We start from the raw sequence: 23,463 nt of genomic DNA on the forward strand, positions 1-23,463 counted from the left end.
AAAAATAACCAAGAATCCTGTATTCAACAAAACTGTCCTTCTAAAGCAAGGATGAAATTAAGATATTCCCAGATAAACAAAAGTTGAGGGAGCTTTCCCGCAAGAAATGCTCAAGAGAGTCCTGCAGGGTGAAATGAAAGAACACTAGACAGTAACTTGAAGCCATATGTAGTAAAGATCTCAATAAAAATAAATATAATACTAACATCATAAAATCATAATAAAATAATATTTAAAAGCTATCATCATTGTAATGATTTATAACTGCCCTTTTTTGTTTTTTCAAGATTTAAGAGATTAATATATGTTTTAAAAGAATAACTACTCGTCTAAAAGATAGTATTAATGTAACTTTGGTTGGTAACTCCACATTAAATTTTGTTTTCCACATAATTTAAGATATTAATGCACATTAATTAATTATTAGTTTATATTTTGGGGAACACAATGTAATTTTGTGACATCAACAACCAAAAGAGGTGGAGTTAGAGCTGTCAAAGAAGCAAAGTTTTTGTCTGTGACTGAAATTAAGCTGATATAAATCAACTTAGAGTGTTATAAACTTACAATGTTAAATGTAATCTTCATGATAACTGCAAGGAAAATAGCTACAGAATTTACACAAAAGGAAATGACAAAGGAATTTAAATGTTTCACCAAAAAATCAATTAAACACAAAAGAAGACAATAATCCTGGTAACGCAGAACAAAAGAGCTATAAGGTGTATAGAAAGCAAATAACAGAATGACATGTTTCTTCTTAATAGTAAATTACTTCAGGCTGGGCGTGGTGGCTCATGCCTGTAATCCCAGAACTTTGGAAGGCTGAGACGGGCGGATCATGAGGTCAGGAGATCGAGACCATCCTGGCTAACACGGTGAAACCCCGTCTCTATTAAAAATACAAAAAAATTAGCCGGGAATGGTGACAGGCGCCTGTAGTCCCACCTACTTGGGAAGTTGAGGCAGGAGAATGGCATGAACCTGGGAGGCGGAGCTTGCAGTGAGTGGAGATCACGCCACTGCACTCCAGCCTGGGCGACAGAGCAAGACTCCATCTCAAAAAAAAAAAAAAAAAAGGAAATTAACTTTAACTGTAAATGGATTAAACTTTCCAATAAAAAGACAGAGATTGGCAGAATAAATTTTAAAGCAAGATCCAATTACATGCTGTCTGTAAGAGACTCACTTTAGAGTCAAAGACATAGATTGAAAATGAATGGATGGAAAAAATATTCCATGTAAATAGTAACCAAAAGAAAGCAGGGGTGCCTATAATGATATCAGACAAAATAGACTTTATTTAATTTATTTATTTTTATCCTACACTGTCTTCCCTCCCCTTCCAAAATAGACTTTAAGTTTTAAAAAAAGTTTACAAGAGACAAAGAAGGACATTACTTGTTAATGCAAGTTTCAACATATCAAGATGTAACAACTATAAACATCTACACACCTAATGACAGACCCTCAAAATATATGAAGCAAAAATGGACAGAACTGAAAGAGAAAATAGACAATCCTAAAATAATCATTGGAGACTTTAATACCCACTCTTAATAATGAATAGAATAGTAAGACAGAAGATAGGTTAGGAAATAGAGACTTCAACAATACATTAAACTAGCTAGATCTAAAAGACATATACAGGACACTCTACTCAACAACAACAGCATACACATTCTTCTCAAGTGCACATGGAACATTTTCTGGGATAGATTATATATTAGGCCAGAAATTCTCAACAGATTTTAAAAGACAACATACAAAGTATCTTCTCTGACCACAAAAGGATGAAATTAGAAATAAATAACAGAAGTTAAAGTAGAAAATTCACAAAATTGTGGAAATTAACACAGTATTAAACAATGGATCAAAGAAAAAATTACAAGGGAAATTAGAAAATACTTACAGATAAATGGAAATGAAAACAACAAAACTTATGGGATAAAATAAAAGCAGTGTTAATGGGAAAATTTATAGCTATGTTTACATTTTAAAAAGAAAAATCTCAAATAACACAACTTTACAACTTAAGGCTCTAGAAAAAGAACAGCAAATTAAACCCAGAGCTAGCAGAAGAAAAGAAATAATAAAGATTACAGTAAATAACATGAAATAGAGAAAATCAGTGAGATCAAAAATTGGTCCTTTGAAAAAGTCAGCAAAATAAACCTTTAGTTAAGTGGATTAAGAAAAACAGAAGACTGGCCGGGGGTGGTGGCTCACGCCTGTAATCCCAGCACTTTGGGAGGCCTTAGGGGGTGGATCACCTCAGGTCAGGAGCTCGAGACCAGCCTGGCCAACATGGTGAAAACCTGTCTCTACTAAAAATACAAAAATTATCTAGGCATGTTGGCGGGATCCTGTAATCCCAGCTACTTGGGAGGCTGAGGCAGGAGAATCACTTGAACCCGGGAGGCAGAGGTTGCAGTGAGCCATGATCATGCCATTGCACTCTAGCCTAGCTGACAGAGCAAGACTCTGCTCAGAAGAAAAAAAAAAAAAGAAAAGAAAAAGAGAAGACTTAATAATTACTAAAAAAGACTATAGATCACTAAATTCAAAATGAGTCTTGACATGATGGTTCATGCCTGTGATCCCAGAACTCTACAAAGCTAGGATGAGAGGATTGCTTGAGGCCACAAGTTCAAGACCAGCCTGGGCAACATAATGAGACCCAGTATTCACAAAAAATAAAAATAAAAAATCCAGACAGGTGTCATGCACCTATAGTACTAGCTGAGGAACGAGGATTGCTTGAGCCCAGGAGTTTGAGGCTGTAATGAGGCATTTGATATGCCACTGCACTCCAGCCTAGGTAACAGAGCAAGACCCTATCTTATAATAATAATAATAATAAAGTGAAAGTGGGGACATTACTATCAATTCTACAGAAATAAAAAGGATTATAGAAGAGTACTCTGAACAATTGTACACCAACAAATTTGGTAGCCTAGATGAGATAGAAGGATTCCTAGAAACACAAAATCTACTAATGCTAAATCAAAAGATATAGAAAATCTGAGTAGAATGGAATACTATGCAGCCATAAAAAAGGATGAGTTCATGTATTTGTAGGGACATGGATGAAGCTGGAAACCATCATTCTCAGCAAACTATCTCAAGGACAAAAAACCAAACACCGCATGTTCTCACTCATAGGTGGGAATTGAACAATGAGAACACTTGGACACAGGAAGGGGAACATCACACACCGGGGCCTATCATGGGGTGGGGGGAGGGGCAGAGATAGCATTAGGAGATATACCTAATGTAAATGACGAGTTAATGGGTGCAGCACACCAACATGGCACATGTATACATGTGTAACAAACCTGCACATTGTGCACATGTACCCTAGAACTTAAAATATAATAATAATAATAAAAATCTGAGTAGACCTATAACTAGCAAAGAGATTAAAACAGTAATCTACAATCTCCTGACAAAGAAAAGTCCTGGACCTGATGGTTTTACTGGTGACTTATACCCCAAACATTTAAAGAAGAATTAATACTAATTCTTCTTAAACTGTTCCAAAAGATTGAAGAGGCAGGATCACTTTCTCACTCCTTCTTTGAGGCCAGCATTACCCTGATACTAAAGCCAAACAAGGCACTATAAGAAAAGAAAAGTATAGGCCAATATTCCTGATGAACATTGATGCAAAAGTCTGCAATGAAATACTAGCAAACCACATTCAACAGTATATTAAAAGGATTAAACACCATGACCAAAAGGGATATTTTTCCTGGAATGCAAGGACACCTCAATATACGAAAATGAATGAATGTAATATACCACATTAACAGAATGAAAGAAGAAAACTACATAATCATCTCAATAGATGCAGAAAAAGCATTTGACAAAATACAACACCCTTTCATGAAAAAAAAATGTCCAACGAACTAGGATTAAGAAGAAACTATCTAAACATAATAAAAGCTACATATGAAAAACCCACAGTGAACATCATACTCAATGACAAAAAACTGAAAGCTTTTCCTCTAAGATCAGGAATAGGAAATGCCTGATTTCACTAATTCTATTTCACACCATACTGGAAACTCTCACCAGAGCAATTCGGCCAAAAGAAGAAGGAAAAATAAGAGACATCTTAATTGGAAAGAAAGAGGTCAAATGATCTTCATTTGCAGATAATGTAGTATTTTGTAGAAAAATCCAAAGATTCCACACATAAAAAAACTGTTAGAACTAAGAAATGAATCCAGCAAAGTAGCTGGATACAAAGTCAAAAACAAAACAAAACAAAAAATCAGTTGCACTTCCATACGCTTACAATGAACAACCTGAAAGGAAAATTATGTGAACAATTTCATTAAATAATAGCATTAAAAAGAATAAAATACTTAGGAATTCACTTAAGGAGGTGAAAGACTTGCACAATAAAAACTACAAAACATTGCTGAAAGAAATTAAAGAAGACATAAACAAATGCCTCTGATGTTTATTTATGGACTGGAAAACTTAATGTTGTTAACATGCCAATACAACCCAAAACAATGTACAGATTCATGCAATCTCTATCAAAATCTCAATGACATCTTTTGCAGAAATAGAAACGTCAATCCTAAAATTTCCAAGGAACTCCAAACAGCCATAACAATTTTGAAAAAATTTCAAAAAAGCTGCAGGACTCACCTTCTGATTTCAAAACTTACTACAAGTTTACAGCAATCAACACAGTGTGGTGCAAGCATTCTTATACACCAATAACAGACAAACAGAGAGCCAAATCATGAGTGAACTCCCATTCACAATTGCTTCAAAGAGAATAAAATACCTAGGAATCCAACTTACAATGGATGTGAAGGACTTCTTCAAGGAGAACTACAAACCACTGCTCAATGAAATAAAAGAGGACACAAACAAATGGAAGAACATTCCATGCTCATGGGTAGGAAGAATCAATATCGTGAAAATGGCCATACTGCCCAAGGTAATTTATAGATTCAATGCCATCCCCATCAAGCTACCAATGACTTTCTTCACAGAATTGGAAAAAAACTGCTTTAAAGTTCATATGGAACCAAAAAAGAGCCCTCATCGCCAAGTCAATCCTAAGCCAAAAGAACAAAGCTGGAGGCATCATGTTATCTGACTTCAAACTATACCACAAGGCTACAGTAATCAAAACAGCATGGTACTGGTACCAAAACAGAGATATAGACCAACGGAACAGAACAGAGCCCTCAGAAATAATGCCACATATCTACAACTATCTGATCTTTGACAAACCTGACAAAAACAAGAAATGGGGAAGGGATTCCCTATTTAATAAATGGTGCTGGGAAAACTGGCTAGCCATATGCAGAAAGCTGAAACTGGATCCCTTTCTTACACCTTATACAAAAATTAATTCAAGATGGATTAAAGACTTAAATGTTAGACCTAAAACCATAAAATCCTAGAAGAAAACCTAGGCAATACCATTCAGAACATAGGCATGGGCAAGGACTTCATGTCTAAAACACCAAAAGCAATGGCAATAAAAGCCAAAATTGACAAACAGGATCTAATTAAACTAAAGAGCTTCTGCACAGCAAAAGAAACTACCATCAGAGTGAACAGGCAACCTACGGAATGGAAGAAAATTTTTGCAATCTACTCATCTGACAAAGGGCTAATATCCAGAATCTACAATGAACTCAAACAAATTTACAAGACAAAAACAAACAGCCCCATCAACAAGTCGGCAAAGGCTATGAACAGACACTTCTCAAAAGAAGACATTTATGTAGCCAAAGACAACATGAAAAAATGCTCATCATCACTGGCCATCAGAGAAATGCAAATCAAAACCACAATGAGATAACATCTTACACTAGTTAGAATGGCGATCATTAAAAAGTCAGGAAACAACAGGTGCTGGAGAGGATGTGGAGAAATAGGAACACTTTACGCTGTTGGTGGGACTGTAAACTAGTTCAACCATTGTGGAAGTCAGTGTGGTGATTCCTCAGGGATCTAGAACTAGAAATACCATTTGACCCAGCCATCCCATTACTGGGTACATACTGAAAGGATTATAAATCATTCTACTATAAAGACGCATGCACACGTATGTTTATTTCAGCACTATTCACAATAGCAAAGACTTGGAACCAACCCAAATGTCCAACAATGATAGACTGGATTAAGAAAATGTGGCACATATACACCATGGAATACTATGCAGCCATAAAAAATGATGAGTTCATGTCCTTTGTAGGGACATGGATGAAGCTGGAAAGTGTCATTCTCAGCAAACTATCGCAAGGACAAAAAACCAAACACCGCATGTTCTCACTCATAGGTGGGAATTGAACAATGAGAATATTTGGACACAGGAAGGGGAACATCACACCCTGGGGCCTGTTGTAGGGTTGAGGGGGAGGGATAGCATTAGGAGATCTACCTAATGTTAAATGATGAGTTAATGGGTGCAGCACACCAGTATGGCACATGTATACATATGTAACAAACCTGCACATTGTGCACATGTACCCTAAAACTTAAAGTATAATAAAAATAAAATAAAATAAAAATAAATAAATAAAAAACAGTGTGGTGGCATAAATGCAGACATATGGAAAGACAGAGTAGAATAAAAAGCCTGGAAATAAACCCTCACATATATGGTAAAATGATTTTTGACAAGGGTGCCAAGACCATTCAATGGGGAAAGGACCATCTTTTCAACAAACAGTCCTGGGTAAACTGGATGTCCACGTGCGAAATAATGAAATTGGACCCTTACATAACACCCTATATGAAAATTAACTCAAAATGGATTGAAGACCTAAATTTAAGGCATAAAACTATAAAACTCATGAAAAAACTTATGGAGGACAAAATGTTCACAACATTGGATTTGGCAGTGATGTCTTGGATATGACAGGAAAGGAAGAAGCAACAACAAAGAATTGGGCTTCATAAAAAATCAAAAAACTTGTGCATCAAAAGATACTATCAAAAGTAAAAAGGCAGCCTAAAGAATGGAAGAAAATACTTCAAAATCATATATCTGAGAAAGGATTGATATCCAGAATATATGGAGAACACCTAAAACTCAACAACAACAAAGAGCAACATGATTCAAAAATAGGGAAAAGACTTAATTAAACAAAACATTCCTCCAAAGAAGATATACAGATAGCCAATAGCACATGAAAAGATGCTCTACGGGACTAATCATTAGGGAAACACAAATCAAAACTATAATGAGATACCATTGCACACCCATTGTGTACCAAAAAAAATAAGATAACAAGCGTTGGTGAGGATGTGGAGAAATTGGAACTCTTTTGCATTTGTTGGCGGGACTGTAAAATGGTACAAACTGTGGAAAATAGCATGGAGGTTTCTCAAAAATTAAAAATAGAATTACCATATGGTCCAGCAATTTAACTTCTGAGTATACCTCAAAAGAATTGAAAGCAGGGTCTGGAGAGATATTTGTACATCCATGTCCATAGGAGCATTATTCACAATAGTTAAGTGTGGAAACAGTCCAAGAAACCATCAATGGATGAATGGATAAGCAAAATGTGAGATTTTAAATATATATATATGCACAATGGAATATTATTCAGCCATAAAAAGGAAATTATGACAGACTACAACATGAATAAATCCTGAAGACATGCTAATTGAAGTAAGCCAGTCACAGAAAGACAAATACTGTATGATTTCACTTATATGAGGTACTTAGGATAGTCAAAGTCATAGAGAAAGAAGTAGAATGGTGGTTGTCAGGAGCTGGGAGGAGGGGGGAAATAGGCAGTGACTGTTTAATGAGTAAAGAGTTTCAGTTTTGCAAGATGAAAAGAATTTTGGAGGCGGATGGTCATGATGGTTGTACAAAATTATTAATACATTTAACACCACTAAACCGTACATTTAAAAATAGTTAAGATGGTAAACGTTATGTTATATGTACTCTCCCACAATAAAAATATTGGAAAAAAATGTATTTCAGATCATATTACTCCTTTTCTCACTGTCCCCACTGCTTCTCAACACCCCCAATACTACCAATGACTCCTGTGTCAGTGAGAAATTCAACACCCCTACAGTGACCTTCAAGATCCTAGAGAACTGGCCCCATTTCCTCTCTTATCTCATCTCTTCCTACTTCCCTCCCCTCACTCATTCCATTCCAGTCACATTGGCCTCCTTGCAATTCCTCAAACATGCTGGACACATTTCCACTTAAAGGCTTTGCACTGGCTTTTTCCTCTACCCAGAATGCTCTTTCCGTAGATACTCACATGGCTCCCTCTCTCACCTCCTCAACCCTTTGTACAAATCTTGTCTCCTCATTGAACCACTACCAATTTCTTTTATCCCGTTCCACATTTTTTCTATTCTGATTATAACCTTCAACCTCACTAGATAATGTACTTATTTATTATGCTTATTGTGTGCCTGTCTCCTTCACAAGAATATAGATTCCTTGGAGGCAGGGATTTTTTGTTCTGTTTGCTGATGTATTTCAAGCACCTATATTGGTACCTGATACTTGGTAGGCATTTAATAAACATGTACTGAAAGAATGAATGAATAAAATTTTCATCTAAAGTTGAATTAGTAACTTTTGGCTCACTAGGGAAAGGAAACTAAATATGTTTCACCCCAGGAAAATTTAAGATTCAGGAGTATTCACAGAGTAAAATGTTGTAAGAAATCACCTGCTATATTCAACTAACCCCCTTCAATATATATGTAGGTAAAGATGGATTAAAATGCACACTAAGGGCAAAGTCCCTGTCAGGTTGAGACTGCAGAAGGGAAGGGGCTTTGGTTGGAGGGTGTTTATGTGAATTGTGTGCATGCTTGTGGGTCCCTCCCATGAACCTTAACACATGTCACCAGATGGTGCCCAGCTTCAAAAGCACCACATAATCTGGACCCTGCTCATCTAACTGGTCACAATTTGTCCTCACTACATTAAACAAATGGGGGTCTGGCAGTGTGCAAGGCTGGGAGAGGGGTCAGGGGAAGAGTTCATTCTCCCTCTCTTATGGTGGAATTTTCCTGGCAGCCAAGATGATGAGATGGAAAAAGGCAGACCAGTGGCTACTCCAGAAATGCATTGGCGGGGTCAGAGGGATGTGGCGCTTCTATTCCTACCTCACAGGCAGTGCAGGTGGGTTCTTGGGGTTGTTCCTGGGGCTTTTGCAAGTTCCTAATGGTTTTCAGATTGCCCTAAGCCCCAGTTAACAATTATGTGTGTCTGTGTTGAATATAAACATGTTTAATAATGCAGTTTGGATAAAAATCTTTGAAAACTGAGGTCCATAGTGTAGGTTAAGGGAAAGGTAGTCAGAGTCCCTTTTACTCGTTTATTCATTCATTCATTTAACAGTGTCATTAAGCACTGCTATGTGGCAGCCACTGGCCTGGTAGGTTGGGTTACAAAGGTGAACAAGAGCCATAAGTCCCTGCTTCACAAAGCTGCCATTTTGGTGGGGAGATGGACAAGGAACACGTAAACAAATCCCTGTAGTGGGAGTGATGGGAAGACTGGCTTCTGTTCTATTGGGTCCAGTAGTTACTGGGTTCTGGGAGGCTGGTAGCTGGCCCTGGCTGACACTCCAGCTCAACAACATTAAGTTTCATCCAGGCCTTAGCCCTAATTTTAAGGGTGAAATCCTGGATCTCCAAGGAGCAGGTAGGGAAGAACTAGATGGACTACATCTTTCACTTTGCCACTCAGAGTTCAGGCCTGGCCAAGTTTTAACAAAAGGGAATGTAGTCTTTGGCATCTTTTGGCTCCAGTGTCCTTCTGCAGGCCATTCTCAGTCCATGATCTAGGAAATGTGGTTTTTTTCCCCAATCTTCATTTTTTTTGGACAAAATTTAATTACTTCATAATCCTCCCCCAGAGTCTTGCAGTTTTCCCTCCAGTGATGGTTTTTCTAACACCAGCAACAAAAAGTCAAAGGATTCCCATGCATTAAGCCTCTTCTCCCCATGCCTCCAATTCTCCCCCACAGTAGAACTTTTCTAGAGATGATACCTTGAACCAATCACCAGGAATGATGATTGATGCAGTGGAACAGGCTGGTGGGGGATGTCAGTTGATTCACCCAGATGCAACCACCAAAGGGGCAAAACTAGGGTATAGCTCTGTGCCTCTTCTGTCTCACCCGTAGGTGAAGAATTGGTGGATTTCTGGATCCTTGCTGAGAACATCCTGAGCATAGATGAGATGGACCTGGAAGTGAGAGACTACTACCTGTCCCTCCTCCTCATGCTGAGGGCCACTCATCTGCAGGAGGGCTCCAGGGTGGTAACCCTCTGTAACATGAACATCAGTAAGAATTATAAAGCATCTTTTTGGGGGGATGCAACAAAAAAGTAAATCCAGTGTCTGATAATCCTCAGTCTCCTTCTTTGCAGGAAACCCCACCTTCTTTCCATCTTCTATGTATCAGAGAGGCTAGTGGCAACCCCAACCCTTAACCAGGAAAGTATTGAAAGACACAGTTGTCCTTAAGCTGGCACTTGCCTCTCTCTAAGATACTACCTGCCAATGAAGGCTGGCTGGAAGGAGCGGGGAGGAATTGGGGCAGGATACTTGAAAAGCACCTGTAACATTTAAGTCTATGTACTTTTGTAATTTTATTTTTTTAATTGGGATTCTCTAGAACAAACTGCAGCCCACCAGCCAAATGCACTGTATGTGGCCTGTGAGCTAAGACCGTTTTTACATTTTCATAGGGCTAATTTTATGTGATTTACAAAGCCAAAATATTTACCATCTGGCCCTTTACATAAAAATTTGCCAACTTCTTCTCTAGAATGTAAGATTTATGTATACTTGTTTGTTCATTGATTAGATGATGAGGCATTCCTAACTCAAATACAAATGTGCTCCAAAAGATGTGCTGTTTGGGGTTAGTCATACTCCTCTCTACTCACATAGGTAATTGAGAATTGATGACATTAAAATCAGGGCTAGTTCTACTTATCCAGTCCAAACCTCTTCATCAAAAATCCTGTTCAGATGTAGATGTCTCTTGTTCTTAATCGTTTTTCTTGTGCTTTTGCTTTTCTTTAAAATAACATTTAATAATCTAAAAAGTAGCTAGAGGAATCCCATAGCATGGCTTATTTCTATGGAGAATAAGATAAAGGGATCCCTGTGTGCTGAGAAAACCATAAAAATGTGTCGACTCTATATTTAAACTATTCATACTCCAGGATTATATGAGGAACTAATAAAATGCTATATACAAAGACATTTGAAAAAAATTAAAAACCTCTCCAACACCATCATCACTGCCATCATCCCATCATTTTCACCCATGATTTCTCTGTATTATTTCCAGAGTCCCTCCTGAACCTCTCCATCTGGCATCCCAACCAATCAACCACTAGGAGGGAGATCCTGAGCCACATGCAGAAAGTGGCTCTGTTCAAACTCCAGAGCTATTGGCTTCCCAACTTTTACACCCACACCAAGATGACCATGGCCAAGGAGGAAGCATGCCATGGTCTGATGCAAGAGTACGAGACTCGCTTATACAGCGTTTGCTACACCCACATAGGAGGGCTCCCTCTGAACATGAGCATCAAGAAGTGCCACCACTTTCAGAAACGGTACTCAAGCAGGAAAGCCAAGAGGAAGATGTGGCAATTGGTAGATCCTGACTCTTGGTCTCTGGAAATGGATCTCAAGCCAGATGCTATTGGTATGCCCCTACAGGAGACATGTCCTCAAGAGAAGGTGGTTATACAAATGCCTTCCCTGAAAATGGCTTCTTCAAAGGAAACAAGAATCAGTTCCCTGGAAAAGGATATGCATTATGCAAAAATATCCAGCATGGAGAATAAAGCCAAGAGCCACCTCCACATGGAAGCCCCCTTTGAGACAAAGGTCTCTACCCACCTGAGGACTGTCATCCCCATTGTCAATCACTCCTCCAAGATGACAATTCAGAAGGCCATCAAGCAAAGCTTCTCCTTAGGATACATCCACTTGGCCTTGTGTGCTGATGCCTGTGCAGGGAACCCTTTCCGGGACCACCTGAAGAAGCTGAATTTGAAAGTGGAGATCCAACTTCTTGACCTCTGGCAGGACTTGCAGCATTTCCTCAGTGTCCTTCTGAATAACAAAAAGAATGGGAATGCAATCTTTCGTCACTTGCTGGGTGACAGAATCTGCGAGCTCTACCTGAATGAGCAGATTGGTCCGTGCTTACCACTCAAATCCCAAACCATTCAGGGCCTGAAGGAACTATTGCCCTCTGGGGATGTGATCCCCTGGATTCCCAAAGCCCAGAAGGAGATTTGCAAGGTAGGCCATGCCTCACAGAAATAAGTTATATCTGGCAAATTAGGTCAAAACTGACTAAAAATCCCATCTGGTCACCTATACTGGCTAAGTGACTATATAATTACCCACATAAACCTTTACATATTGAAGAGTTGGTTGATCTGTTAAGGCAGGGGTCCCCAGCCCCTGGGCCGCAAATCTGTATCAGTCCATGGCCTGTTAGGAACTGGGCCGCACAGCAGAAGGTGAACAGCGGGTAAGCAAGCATTACTGCCTGAGCTCTGTCTTCTGTCAGATCAGTGGCAGCATTAGAGTGCAAACAGTACTGTGAACTGTGAATATGAAGGATCTGGGTTGCATGCTTCTTATGAGAATCGAATGCCTGATTATCTGAGGTGGAACAGTTTCATTCTGAAATCATCCCCCCAGCCCCAAGTTCATGGAAAAAACTGTCATCCACAAAACTGGTCCCTGTGCCAAAAAGGTTGGGGACCGCTGTCTCAAGGCACAAATTTTGCAACGTCCCCCAAATCAGCCAAAAATTCTAAAGTACAATGGAGGTGGGGAGTGGTTGATGTCCATTCCTTCTTCACTTTCTTGTTATGTGAAGCCTCCCCAAACCATGAACCTCAGAGTATTCTATGAGGAGAGTTTTAAATTTCTGTTATAAACATTATGTATTGAAAAGCAAGGTCTCCCTTTACTAGACTAGCCATCAAGGAAATGTTCAATTAGGATGAGTTTATTTTTATCTCAAAACATTAGATAAAAGCAAGAGAATACTCTGAAGACTCACAGGAAGTGATGCCCATCATATAGCTATTGTATCATCAAGTTCTTAGCAGAAAGCAAACGGCAAAGTTAAGTTGGGTAACAGATGAGAGACAAATAAGAGGGACTACTCACAAAGGAATGGGTGGTGCAGTGGGGCAACCACAGGGATAGTGTCATACCATAAAGTCAGTAAGGGCAGGGCACCTTTGTCATTCCTAGGTATGAAGAACTGAGGACAGGAAGCAATTACTAGAACCAGGAGAGAAAGAGCTGTATGGAGTGGGACACTTACTTGGCAGAAGCTGTAATCATCAGTTGAGGGATATAACTAGTTCACAGTGATCTAGTTTGGAGGGATTGGAGAAATAGATACCCCAAGCTCACTCTGCTCCTGATTTCCCATCTCCTGCCAGGACACCTCATCTGATAAACCCAAACAGAGGACAAGGGAACAGATTGATGTGGCGCATACAGGTTAATCTTCCAAGGCACAAACAGGGTGAAGAAGAGTAGAAAGTAGATCTGGAGGAGCAAATAGATAAAAAACATCAAATTATTTAGTGCATTATAACGTATTTACCTTGTAAAGCACATTCACACACATTGTGTCCTTTATGCTTCTTAGCACTCCCAAGAGACAGAGAGAATAGTCTTGTTGCTTCTCTTATACAGATAAGGGAATTGAGTCACACAGAGAGTAAGTGAATTAGCCCAAAGCCATGCAGCTAGCTAGTAGATGATCCAGGATCAGAATCCTGGAGTTTTCGGCTCTAAGTCTGGCATGATTTCCAGTATATCATAATTATCCAGGGTTGTACAGTGAGGTAATTTCAGAATAGATCAGTCTAGTGGATCCACAACCAAAGTTCTCCTTTGCTCAATTTTTGATTAATTAAAGCACAGTGGTCTTTCTGCATTTTGTGGAGCCATTTTACGACAGAGATTCAGACTGGGACTGTGCTTTCTGGATCAGCAGATTCTCACAGCAAATACTTCTGCCTGGGACTTGGTGCAAATATACTGAAGATATTTGTACGTGGAGAAGACTAGCCTATCACAGTTACTCAGACTAAACATTTTTATATCATTCTTGACTCACCTCTTTGTCTTACACCCATGTCTAGTCTATTGGCAAACCCTGTTGGCATTACCTTAAGAAATCCAGAAGTGACCACTCCTTTCCACCGTTGTTACAACCACTCTCACCCAAGCCCTGTCCTCTCACCTGTAATATTGCTATTGTCTTCTAACTGATGCCTCGGTGTCTACCCTTGCCCCTCATCAACTCATTTACATGCCAACCACAGTGATTCTGTCAAAACATAGTGTAATTTAACTGAAAATAAATAAAAGGAAATGAGTGAGAACCTTGAAAACAGATGGCTGTCTCAATGAAGATTTTTACTTTCAGTAAAATCCAAAGTCCCTAATAAATCTAGCAAGGCCCTACATGATCTGCATGCCACCTCTCCTCTCTGGCTTCATCTACTATTCCACCCCCACCCCATGCTCATCATCAACTGTGCCAGGCACGCTGCCAGCTTGGCTGTGCTCTGTAACATACAGATAACTGCATGGCTTAGTCTCTCACTCCCTCAGGTCTCCATTAAAGAGTCACCTTTTCAGTGAGGACTTCCTTGGCCATTTGATATAAAATTGCAACCAGCTCCCCATTTTATTTTTGTCCGTAGCACATATCACTAAATACATACATACTCAGAGTGACATCAGCAATATGGTGAAATAGGAGGTCCCCAGCTTTTGTTCACCCATAGAAACATGGACTTGCCAACTATCCACAGAAAAAAGTGCCTTTTGATGAGCTTTGGGACCCAAGTTGGAGGTTGCACCACCCCAGTGGAGTTCAAGACCAAGGAAAGCTGCTTTGAAAAAGCAGTCTCATGCTTCTAGTAGCAGGCCTGTCAGTCAGGATCCTGGCTGCAGATCCAGAATCAGCCTCATCTCCTGTGGACTCAGTCCAGCATCATTTGTCCATAATTTTGCCACCAGACCCACCCTCCCATGGTCTTAGCAGAAACTATGCCTGCTTAACACCCTGTTAACGACCCAATGCCTTTCGGTCTCATTAGACACGGAAGCAGCCCTGTGACCCAGCTCCACATTGCTCAACTGCAGTCACAGAAGAAATATCGTCTGCCCTGAGATCCAGCAGGAACCACACCCTGATAACAGGCTTGCTGACCCCAGTCCTGATGACAGACTCTGAGGCAGCCCTGTCCACCCATGGACCTAGAGACAGCCACATTCAATGGCTTTTCCAGACTGCTAGCAGCCTCAGTTTTATCCCTGACCACCTGTGGACTCAGCTATAACCCAAACCACCTGCAGACCTTGAGACAGCCCCAACTGCCTTTGAACCAGGCTCTAACTCCATCTGCCCACAGGTGCAGCTCCAGCTTCACCCACCCATAGACATAATGACCTTACTCATGGAAGCCAACAGCAGGCCTGCCTATAAACATTGCCAGCTAACCAGCCCAGAATCTCTGACTGGCTAATTGCAAAGGCCTTTTTGTGTGTGGCAAAACCAGTCTGTGAAGACCAGAAGAGGTGACTCCTCCGTCAAGCGTACACACACCAATGCAAGGATACAAGGGTCATGAAAAATCAGGTACATGTAATATCACCAAAGGAAATTAATAACATTTCACTATCTGACCCTAAAGAAATGGAGATCCATAAACTGCTTGACCAAATAATTCAAAATAACATCTGAAAAAAAATTTTTCTTGTACTTTTTATAAAGAATTTCTAAACTGTTTAACACAATAATCCTTTTTTTGAGAGACAGGGTCTCACTCTGTCACCCAGGCTGGAATGGAGTGGCATGATCATAGCTCACTGTAGCCTCCAACTCCTGGCCCTAAGCTATTCTCCCACCTTGGCCTCCCAAAGTGCTGGGATTACAGGGGTGAGCCACTATGCCCAGCCAAAATAATCATCTTAGAGAAGCTCAATGAGTGATAAGAAAACACAGATAAACATGGACAAAATCAGAAAAACATGCATCAATAAAATTAGAAGTTTAATAAAAAATAAAAAACAATGAAAGAGCCAAATAGAAATCCTGGAGCTGACAAATATAATGACTCAACTGAAAAATTCAATAAAGAGCTTCAACAGCAGGCTTGATTAGGCTTCAAAGGCTTAAAGTAATTGAAGCTGTTATCAGCTTAAAACAGATTTATGTTTTAAGCAGAAGAAAGAAATGAACTCAAAGACAGATCATTTCAGAAATAAAAAGAATGAAAAAGAGCAAAGAAAGCCTAAAGGACTTATGGGACACCATCAAGTGAACCAATATACACATAGAAGTCTCAGAAGGAGAAGCAAGAGAAAAAGGGATAGAAAGCTTATTTAAAGAAATAATGGCTGGAAACTTCACAAATCTAGGGAGAGAAATGGATACCTAGATTTCTGAAACTCAAAGATCTCCAAATAGGCTGAACCTAAAGAGTTTCATACTCAGACATATGATAAATTATTAAAAGTCAAAGACAAAGAATTTTGAAAGAAGAATGGGAAACGTGACTTGTAATATAAAAGGGAGGCTCAAAAAGGCTATCAGCAGATTTCTCAACAGAAACCTTGTAGTCCAGGAGAGAGTGGGATGATATATTCAATATGCTGAAGGAAAGAAAAGGAAAACTGGCAATTGAGAATTCTTTACCCAGAAAAATTATCCTTTGAGAGTGAAGAAGTGTTTAAAAAAAATCTTTCCCAAACAAAATATGAGTTTGTCACCACTAGACCTGCCTTACAAAAAGTGCTAAAGGAACTTCAAGAATAAGGTGAAATGAAAAGATGCTAAATAACAATACAAAAGCATGTGAAAGTATAAATCTCACTGCTAAAGGTAAATATAAGGACAAACACATAATACTGTAATATTGTGATAAAGGTATATAAATCACTTTGAACACTAGTGTGTAAATTAAGACAAAGTTGTAAGAATAATTATAACCACCGAAATTAGTTAATGAAAACACAATATAGAAAAAATAAAAGCTGACATCAAATATGTAAACTATGGCAAGTAGGAAGAAAAGTGCAGAATTTTGTATGCAATTGAAGTTATCAGCTTAAAGCAATTTAAGTTAAGTTGTTATCAGCTTAAAACAGATTTATGACTATAAAATGTTTAATGCAAGGTTCATGGTAACCACAAAAAATGTATAGTAGATACCTAAAAGATAAAAAGAAAATAAAGTATATCACTACAAAAAACAATCAAATCACAAAGGAAGGACAGCAATAGAGAAAGAGAGGGAAGAAGAGAGCTACAAAACAGAAAACAATTAACAAAATGGCAACAGTCTTTACCTAACGATAATTACTTTAAATGTAAATCGTCTTAACTCTGCAATCAAAAGACATTGAGTAGATGAATGTATAAAAACACAAGACCCAAAGATACAAAAGACTCATGATAGATTTAAGAACACAGATAGGCTGAAAGTGAAAGGTTGAAGAAAGATATTTTATGCAAGTGGTAACCCAAAAAAGCATATTTGGCTATACTAAATCAGATAAGATAGAATTTAAGTCAAAAGCTGTCACAAAAGCCAATGGAAGTTATTATACAATGATAAAAGGGTCAATTTAATAGGAAGCTGTAACAATTATAAATACATACGCACCCAACATCATCACCTAAATATATAAAGCAAACATTGACAGATCTGAAGGAAGAACTTAATCTTCTATTATTATTGTGTTGCTTTAATAGAAGACTTCAATACCCCACTCTTCATAATGGATACATCATACGGACAGAAAATGAACAAAGAAAGAGCAGAACTGACCAACCTCATAAAGCAACTGGACCTAACAGTCATATACAGAACTTTCTACTCAACAGCAACAGAATAATTATTCATCCCAGGTGCACATGAATATTCTCCAGAATAGATCATGTGCTAAGTCACAAAAAGGTCTTAACAAATTTAAGATTAAAAATATTCCATAGCCAGACGTGGTGGCACATGTTTGTAGTCCTAACTGCTTGGGAGGCTGAGGTAGGAGGATCACTTAAGCCCAGGAGTTCAAGGTTACAGTGACCTGTGATCATACTACTTCAATCCAGCCTGGGTGAAAGAATGAAACCCTGTCTCTAAAATAATAAAATGAAATAACATTACAAGTTTTTTTTTTTTTTTGACAGAGTCACGCTCTGTCACCCAGGCTGGAGTGCAGTGGCGCAATCTTGGCTCACTGCAACTTCTGTCTCCTGACTTCAAGCAATTCCTCTACCTTAGCCTCCTGAGTAGCTGGAATTACAGGCGCCCACCACCATGCCCACCTAATTTTTGCATTTTTCTTAGAGACGGGGTTTCACCACATTGGCCAAGCTGGTCTCAAACTCCCGACCTCAGGCGATCCACCTGCCTCAGCCTCCCAAAGTGCTGGGATTACAGGCGTGAGCCACCACGCTTGGCCACAAGTATTTTTTTTTATCAAGTGCAATGGAGTGAAACTAGAAATCAAGAATAGAAAATGGGAAAATTTATAAATACACAGAATTAAACAACACACTTTTAAACAACTAGTAGCTCAAAAAAAATCAAAAAGGGCATTTGAAAATACTTGAGACAAATGAAAATAAAAATAACATACCAAAACTTATGGGATGCAGCAAAAGCAGTACTAAGATGGATGTTTATAGCAATAAATGCCTACATTAAAAAAGAAAAATCTCAAATAAACCACCTAACTTTACACCTCACAGAACCAGAAAAAGAAGAACTAAACCTAAACTTATCAGAAGGAAGAAGAGGATGAAGATTAGAGAAGAAATAAATGAAATGGAGAATAGAAAATCAATTTTTAAAAACATAAAACTAAGTTTGTTTTCTTAAGCAATAAATGAAACCAACAAATCCTTAGCTAGGCTTAAAAAAAAGAGAGAGAAGTTTCAAATAAATAAAATTATAAATGAAAGAAAAGATGTTACAATTTATTCTCACAGAAATAAAAAGGATAATGAGACTATTATTAATAATTATACACCAACAAATTGGACAACCTACAAGAAATAAATTTCTAGAAACATACAACTTACCATGACTAAGTCGAGAAGAAATTGAAAGCCTGAACAGACCAATAACAGTAAAAGAGACTGAAGAAGTAATAATAAACTTCCCAAAAGAGAAAAACCAGGGACAAGATGGCGTCACTGGTGAATTCCATCAAATATTTTAATAATTAATACCAATCCTTCTTAAACTCTTCCCAAAAGTATAAGGAGAGAGAACACTTTCAAAGTAATTTATGAGGCTAGAACTCTGACACCAAAGCCAGACAAAGACACAAGAAGAAAAGTAAACCACGGGTCAATATCCCTGAGGAAAACAGATGCAAATATTCACAAGAAAATACGAGCATGGCCAGGTGCAGTGGTTCATGCCTGTAACCCCAGCACTTTGCGAGGCTGAAGTGGGATTGCTTGAGCCCAGGAGTTCAAGACCAGCCTAGGCAACATGACAAAACTCTGTGTTTATAAAAGATAAAAATATTATCTTGGCATGGTGGCGTGTGCCTGTGGTCCTAGCTACTTGGGATGCTGAGAAGGGAGGATTTCTGGAAGAATTTGAAGCTGCAGTGAGCCATGTTCGTGACACTGCATGCCAGCCTGGTGACAGGCAAGATACTGTCTTTAAAAAGAAAAGAAAAAAATACTAGCAAACCAAATACAACAGCCTATTAAAAGAATTATACACAATTACCAGGTAGGATTTATCCCTGGGTTATAAGGATGGCTTGACCTATGCAAATCAATCACTGTGATGCAACTCATTAACAGAATTAGAGGTAAAAATCACATGATCAGCTCAACAGATGCAGAAAAATTACTTGACAAAGTTCAAAATATTTTCATGACAAAAACTCTCAAAAATTACATATAGAAGGAAGGTACTCCCACACAATAAAGGCCATTTATGAAAAGCTTGCTGCAACATCATACTCAATGGCGAGAAGCTGAAATCATTCCCTCTAACATCCAGAACAAGCTAAGGATCCTCATTCTTGCCCCTCCTCATCAACAAAATACTGGAAGTCCTAGCCAGAGAAAGTAGACAAGAAAAATAAAAAATAAAAAAAAGCATCCAAATAGAAAAGGAAGAAGTGAAACTATATAGAAAAAGTAAAACTATCATGCCTCTGTTTGCAGATGACATGATCTTATATGTAGATAACCCTAAAATTACCACAAAAACAGTTAAAACTAATTAGCGAATTCAGTAAAGTTGCAGGATAAAATCAATATTCAAAAACAGTTGTGATTCTATACACTGACACTAAACCTGCATACTATTTTTCACACTGGATGCCCAAATTTACATTCCTGTTTGTGGGAGTGTAAATTGGTGTGACCAGTATGGAAAACAGTATGCAGGTTTCTCAAAAAATGAAAAGTAGAATCACCTTTTGATCCAGCAATCCCACTTCTGGGGATATATTCAAAGGAATTAAAATCTGGATCTTGAAGAGATATCTGCACTATTATGTTCATTGCAGAATTATTCACAATAGCCAAGATATGAAAACAACTGAAATGTGCATCAAAAGGTGAATGGATAAAGAAAATGTGGTGTATATGATGCAGTATTATTCAGTCTTTAAAAGGAAGGAAGTCCTGCCATTTGCAACAACATAGATGAGACCTGGAGGACATCATGCTAATTAAAATAAGTGAGACACAGAAAGACAAATACTGCATAATCTCACTTATGTATTGAATCTAAATCAGATAAACTCATAGAAGCAGAAAATAGAATGGCAGTTGCCAGCAGCTTCAGGGAGGTGTTGATCAAAGTGTACCATGTTTCAGTCACGAGAGATAAATTTACTGTACAACATATGAAATATCATTTAACGATTCTATATTGTATACTTAAAATTCACTGAGAGAATAGGTCTTGTGTTAAGTGTTTTTACCACAAAAGAAAAAAAAAAGCAAACAAAACCAAAGGGAACAGGAGGAAACTTTTGGAGGACAGGTTTGTGGTATTGATTGTGATGACAGTTTAATGGGTGTATACTTATCTTCAGAGACATCAAGTTGTATACATTAAATTTCTACAGGTTTTTGTATGTCAATCATACCTTAATAAAGGACTTAAAAATAATTTTAAAAATACATACTTAATATATGTGTATATATAAAATAAATGTAAAATTCTCATAATGTATATGAATACGTGTGTGCATATAATGTACATCTATGACATACACATAAAATATACTTGTATTATATTTCAAATGAGACATAATGTGTATATGTAATATTTATAGACATATATTTCTATTATTTTGCTTATTTTCTTTTTTTAACTTTCATTTTACGTTCAGGGGTACATATGCAGGTTTGTTATATAGGTATATTTGTGTCACAGCAGTTTATTGTACAGATTAGTAGCACTTGGGTCTTGGGGTGCACGTTCACTTTATGTGGAATGGTTGGATGTAGGCTGCCCACAGAGCCAGGATATGTGACTCTGCAGCATCCCCTAGGAGCTCAAGCCCCGGGGTTCGGTTGTAACTGTAATTCTACCCTGAGGGACAGAGCACAGCTCTGGTCCAGCTTTGGGGAAGAAGGGGTACTCTGGAGGTTCGGGCCCACAGAGTGGGTTTGGGAACCTGAGCCAATAGGGCTCAGTGGCAACTCAGGTCCCTAGGGATGAGGCACCGTGTAGTGGTGACTCTAGACCCTGGGACGGTGGGGCTCAGAAGTATCCCAGACTCTGAAGCCAGGCGCAGTGGCACCAAGTATGCTAGAATACTTGGGATACAGGGAAAGGGATGTCTTAGCAGCTAGGACTCTAGAGGGCTAGTTCAGCTACAGGGAAGCAGGGTACTATAATTCTTTTGGCCTGTAGTGTGGGGTGCCTCAGCTCAGCCACTGTTCTGTTTCCCTGGGACCTGGGGTACTATGTCATCTTAGTCCTGGAATGCACAGCTGCTCAGTGTCACTTCAGCTTAGGCCCAGGGGTGTGACTATTCCAGGTAGCCCAGGCACTATTTCCCTGGGATGTAAGATGCCACTCAGCTTAGGTATTGGTGTATGTGACCGCTCTTCTGGGAGGCAGGACACTGCTTTAAATCAAGCATGAGAATATGTGACTGCTCTGGACAGCCAAGGTTCTGTTTTCCCAGGGGCCAGGGTACAGCAGCAACTGGAGGGATAGATGGAGCAGTTCCACCAATGCATCAATTTCCCAGGAAGGCGTGTGAAGCTTTGGCTTCAGTTCACAGGTTCGGGGCTCAGCAGTGACTAGGAGAGAAATATGGGGCAGCTCCAACAAGGCACTGTTTCCTCAGGAGGCAGTGTGCCATTTCAGTTCAGGCCCCTAGGGGCAGGGTGCAGGTGCAGCTGCAGCTGAGTGTGGTAGATGAAGCAATTCTACCAAAGTGCCATTTCCCCAGGAGGGAGTGTAGAGCTTAATGTTCAGCCTGAAGGGGTTAGGCAGAAGTGGGCAGAGCAGTTCCACTTGTGGTTGGCCCCAAGGGGAAGAGTGTGACAGCTGCCTGCAACTTGGCTTGGGGATGTCAGGCCATCAGGTGGGGGTGGTTTGGCAGCAGTTTACCCTCAGGGATGAAGGGAAGCTGTGGCTGCTTGCCCCTGGAGCAAGACACATTCCAGCAGTAATACCATTTCCAAGATGGTATAGCACGGTAGTCTTGCAGGCCACAGGAGGCAGGGCACAGTGTCAACTCCTTCTCTGGTGGGAGCATAGCTGTGTGGCCATTAGGCAGCTCCCTCAGCTGGGCTTAGTGCCTGTGAGGACTGCAGGGGACCCCAGTGGTGAGGACTGTAGGTGTCTAATGTGTTAATGAGGGCTGCTGAGATCTTCTAGCCTAGCTTTTCACAATAGGAAGAAGTTCCTCCCGGTCCCCAGCTGATCCAGGCTCGGGGAGTGGGTGGTGGAGGCCCAATGTTTCCTTTCATTCTCTCTGTGGCTATCCTGAGTTTCTGTGTTCATCAGGGTTTCTGTTACTCCTTCAATGTACACTTTCCTTTTGTTATTTTAACTTTTATTAGAATGTAGTTATTCATGTATTGTTTCAGCTGTGTTTATGGAGGCAGGGGCAAGTGCTGGGGGCTTCTAGTCAGCCATCTTGCTGACATCACTCATCTTGATCCTTGGTTTTCTCATCAGTACATTGGGGATCATAATGGCTGCCTCAAAGACACTCTATATGCAGCGCCTGGTAGTGAGTAGGTAAATACATGTTCATCCTCTTCTGATCTTTTATCAGACACATATAACCTTAGAATAGGTCATTAGAGATTCTGTCATCCCTTCTCTCATTGTACAGCTGATGGGCCAAATTCTCAGGTCTCACTGCTATTTACTGACAAGTGCAGAGCCAGTGTC

General features: G+C 39.2%; 1 protein-coding gene across 14 annotated transcripts in view, besides 2 other annotated features; it reads left to right on the forward strand.

Annotated features, from left to right (window-relative positions):
* Positions 1–23,463, forward strand: part of RGSL1 (regulator of G protein signaling like 1) — a 112,721-nt gene that overhangs the window by 14,356 nt on the left and 74,902 nt on the right. For 11 of the 14 annotated variants that reach the window (XM_017001193.3, XM_017001191.1, XM_017001192.3 and 8 more), the window contains 3 exons: positions 9,050–9,154; positions 10,164–10,325; positions 11,343–12,310. The exons of 1 other annotated variant lie outside the window; for it this stretch is intronic. In XM_017001193.3, the coding sequence (XP_016856682.1) occupies positions 9,050–9,154; positions 10,164–10,325; positions 11,343–12,310 (1,235 nt within the window). Of the gene's footprint in view, positions 1–9,049; positions 9,155–10,163; positions 10,326–11,342; positions 12,311–23,463 lie in introns of those variants that run through there. 2 more of the 14 variants (NM_001137669.2, XM_047419640.1) reach the window with 2 other exon arrangements.
* Positions 12,325–13,524: an enhancer, noted in NCBI's record as "CDK7 strongly-dependent group 2 enhancer chr1:182443692-182444891 (GRCh37/hg19 assembly coordinates)". NCBI's record gives its function as "activates an origin of replication core promoter dependent on BRD2, BRD4, P300/CBP, MED14 and CDK7 cofactors, with strong dependence on CDK7, by STARR-seq in HCT116 cells {active_cell/tissue: HCT116}" and the evidence as "EXISTENCE:reporter gene assay evidence [ECO:0000049][PMID:35650434]".
* Positions 22,312–22,371: an enhancer, noted in NCBI's record as "active region_2197". NCBI's record gives its function as "activates an Ori minimal core promoter by ATAC-STARR-seq in GM12878 lymphoblastoid cells {active_cell/tissue: GM12878}" and the evidence as "EXISTENCE:reporter gene assay evidence [ECO:0000049][PMID:35858748]".

This window comes from Homo sapiens, chromosome 1, assembly GCF_000001405.40.
Source record: "Homo sapiens chromosome 1, GRCh38.p14 Primary Assembly".
Taxonomy (NCBI): domain Eukaryota; kingdom Metazoa; phylum Chordata; class Mammalia; order Primates; family Hominidae; genus Homo; species Homo sapiens.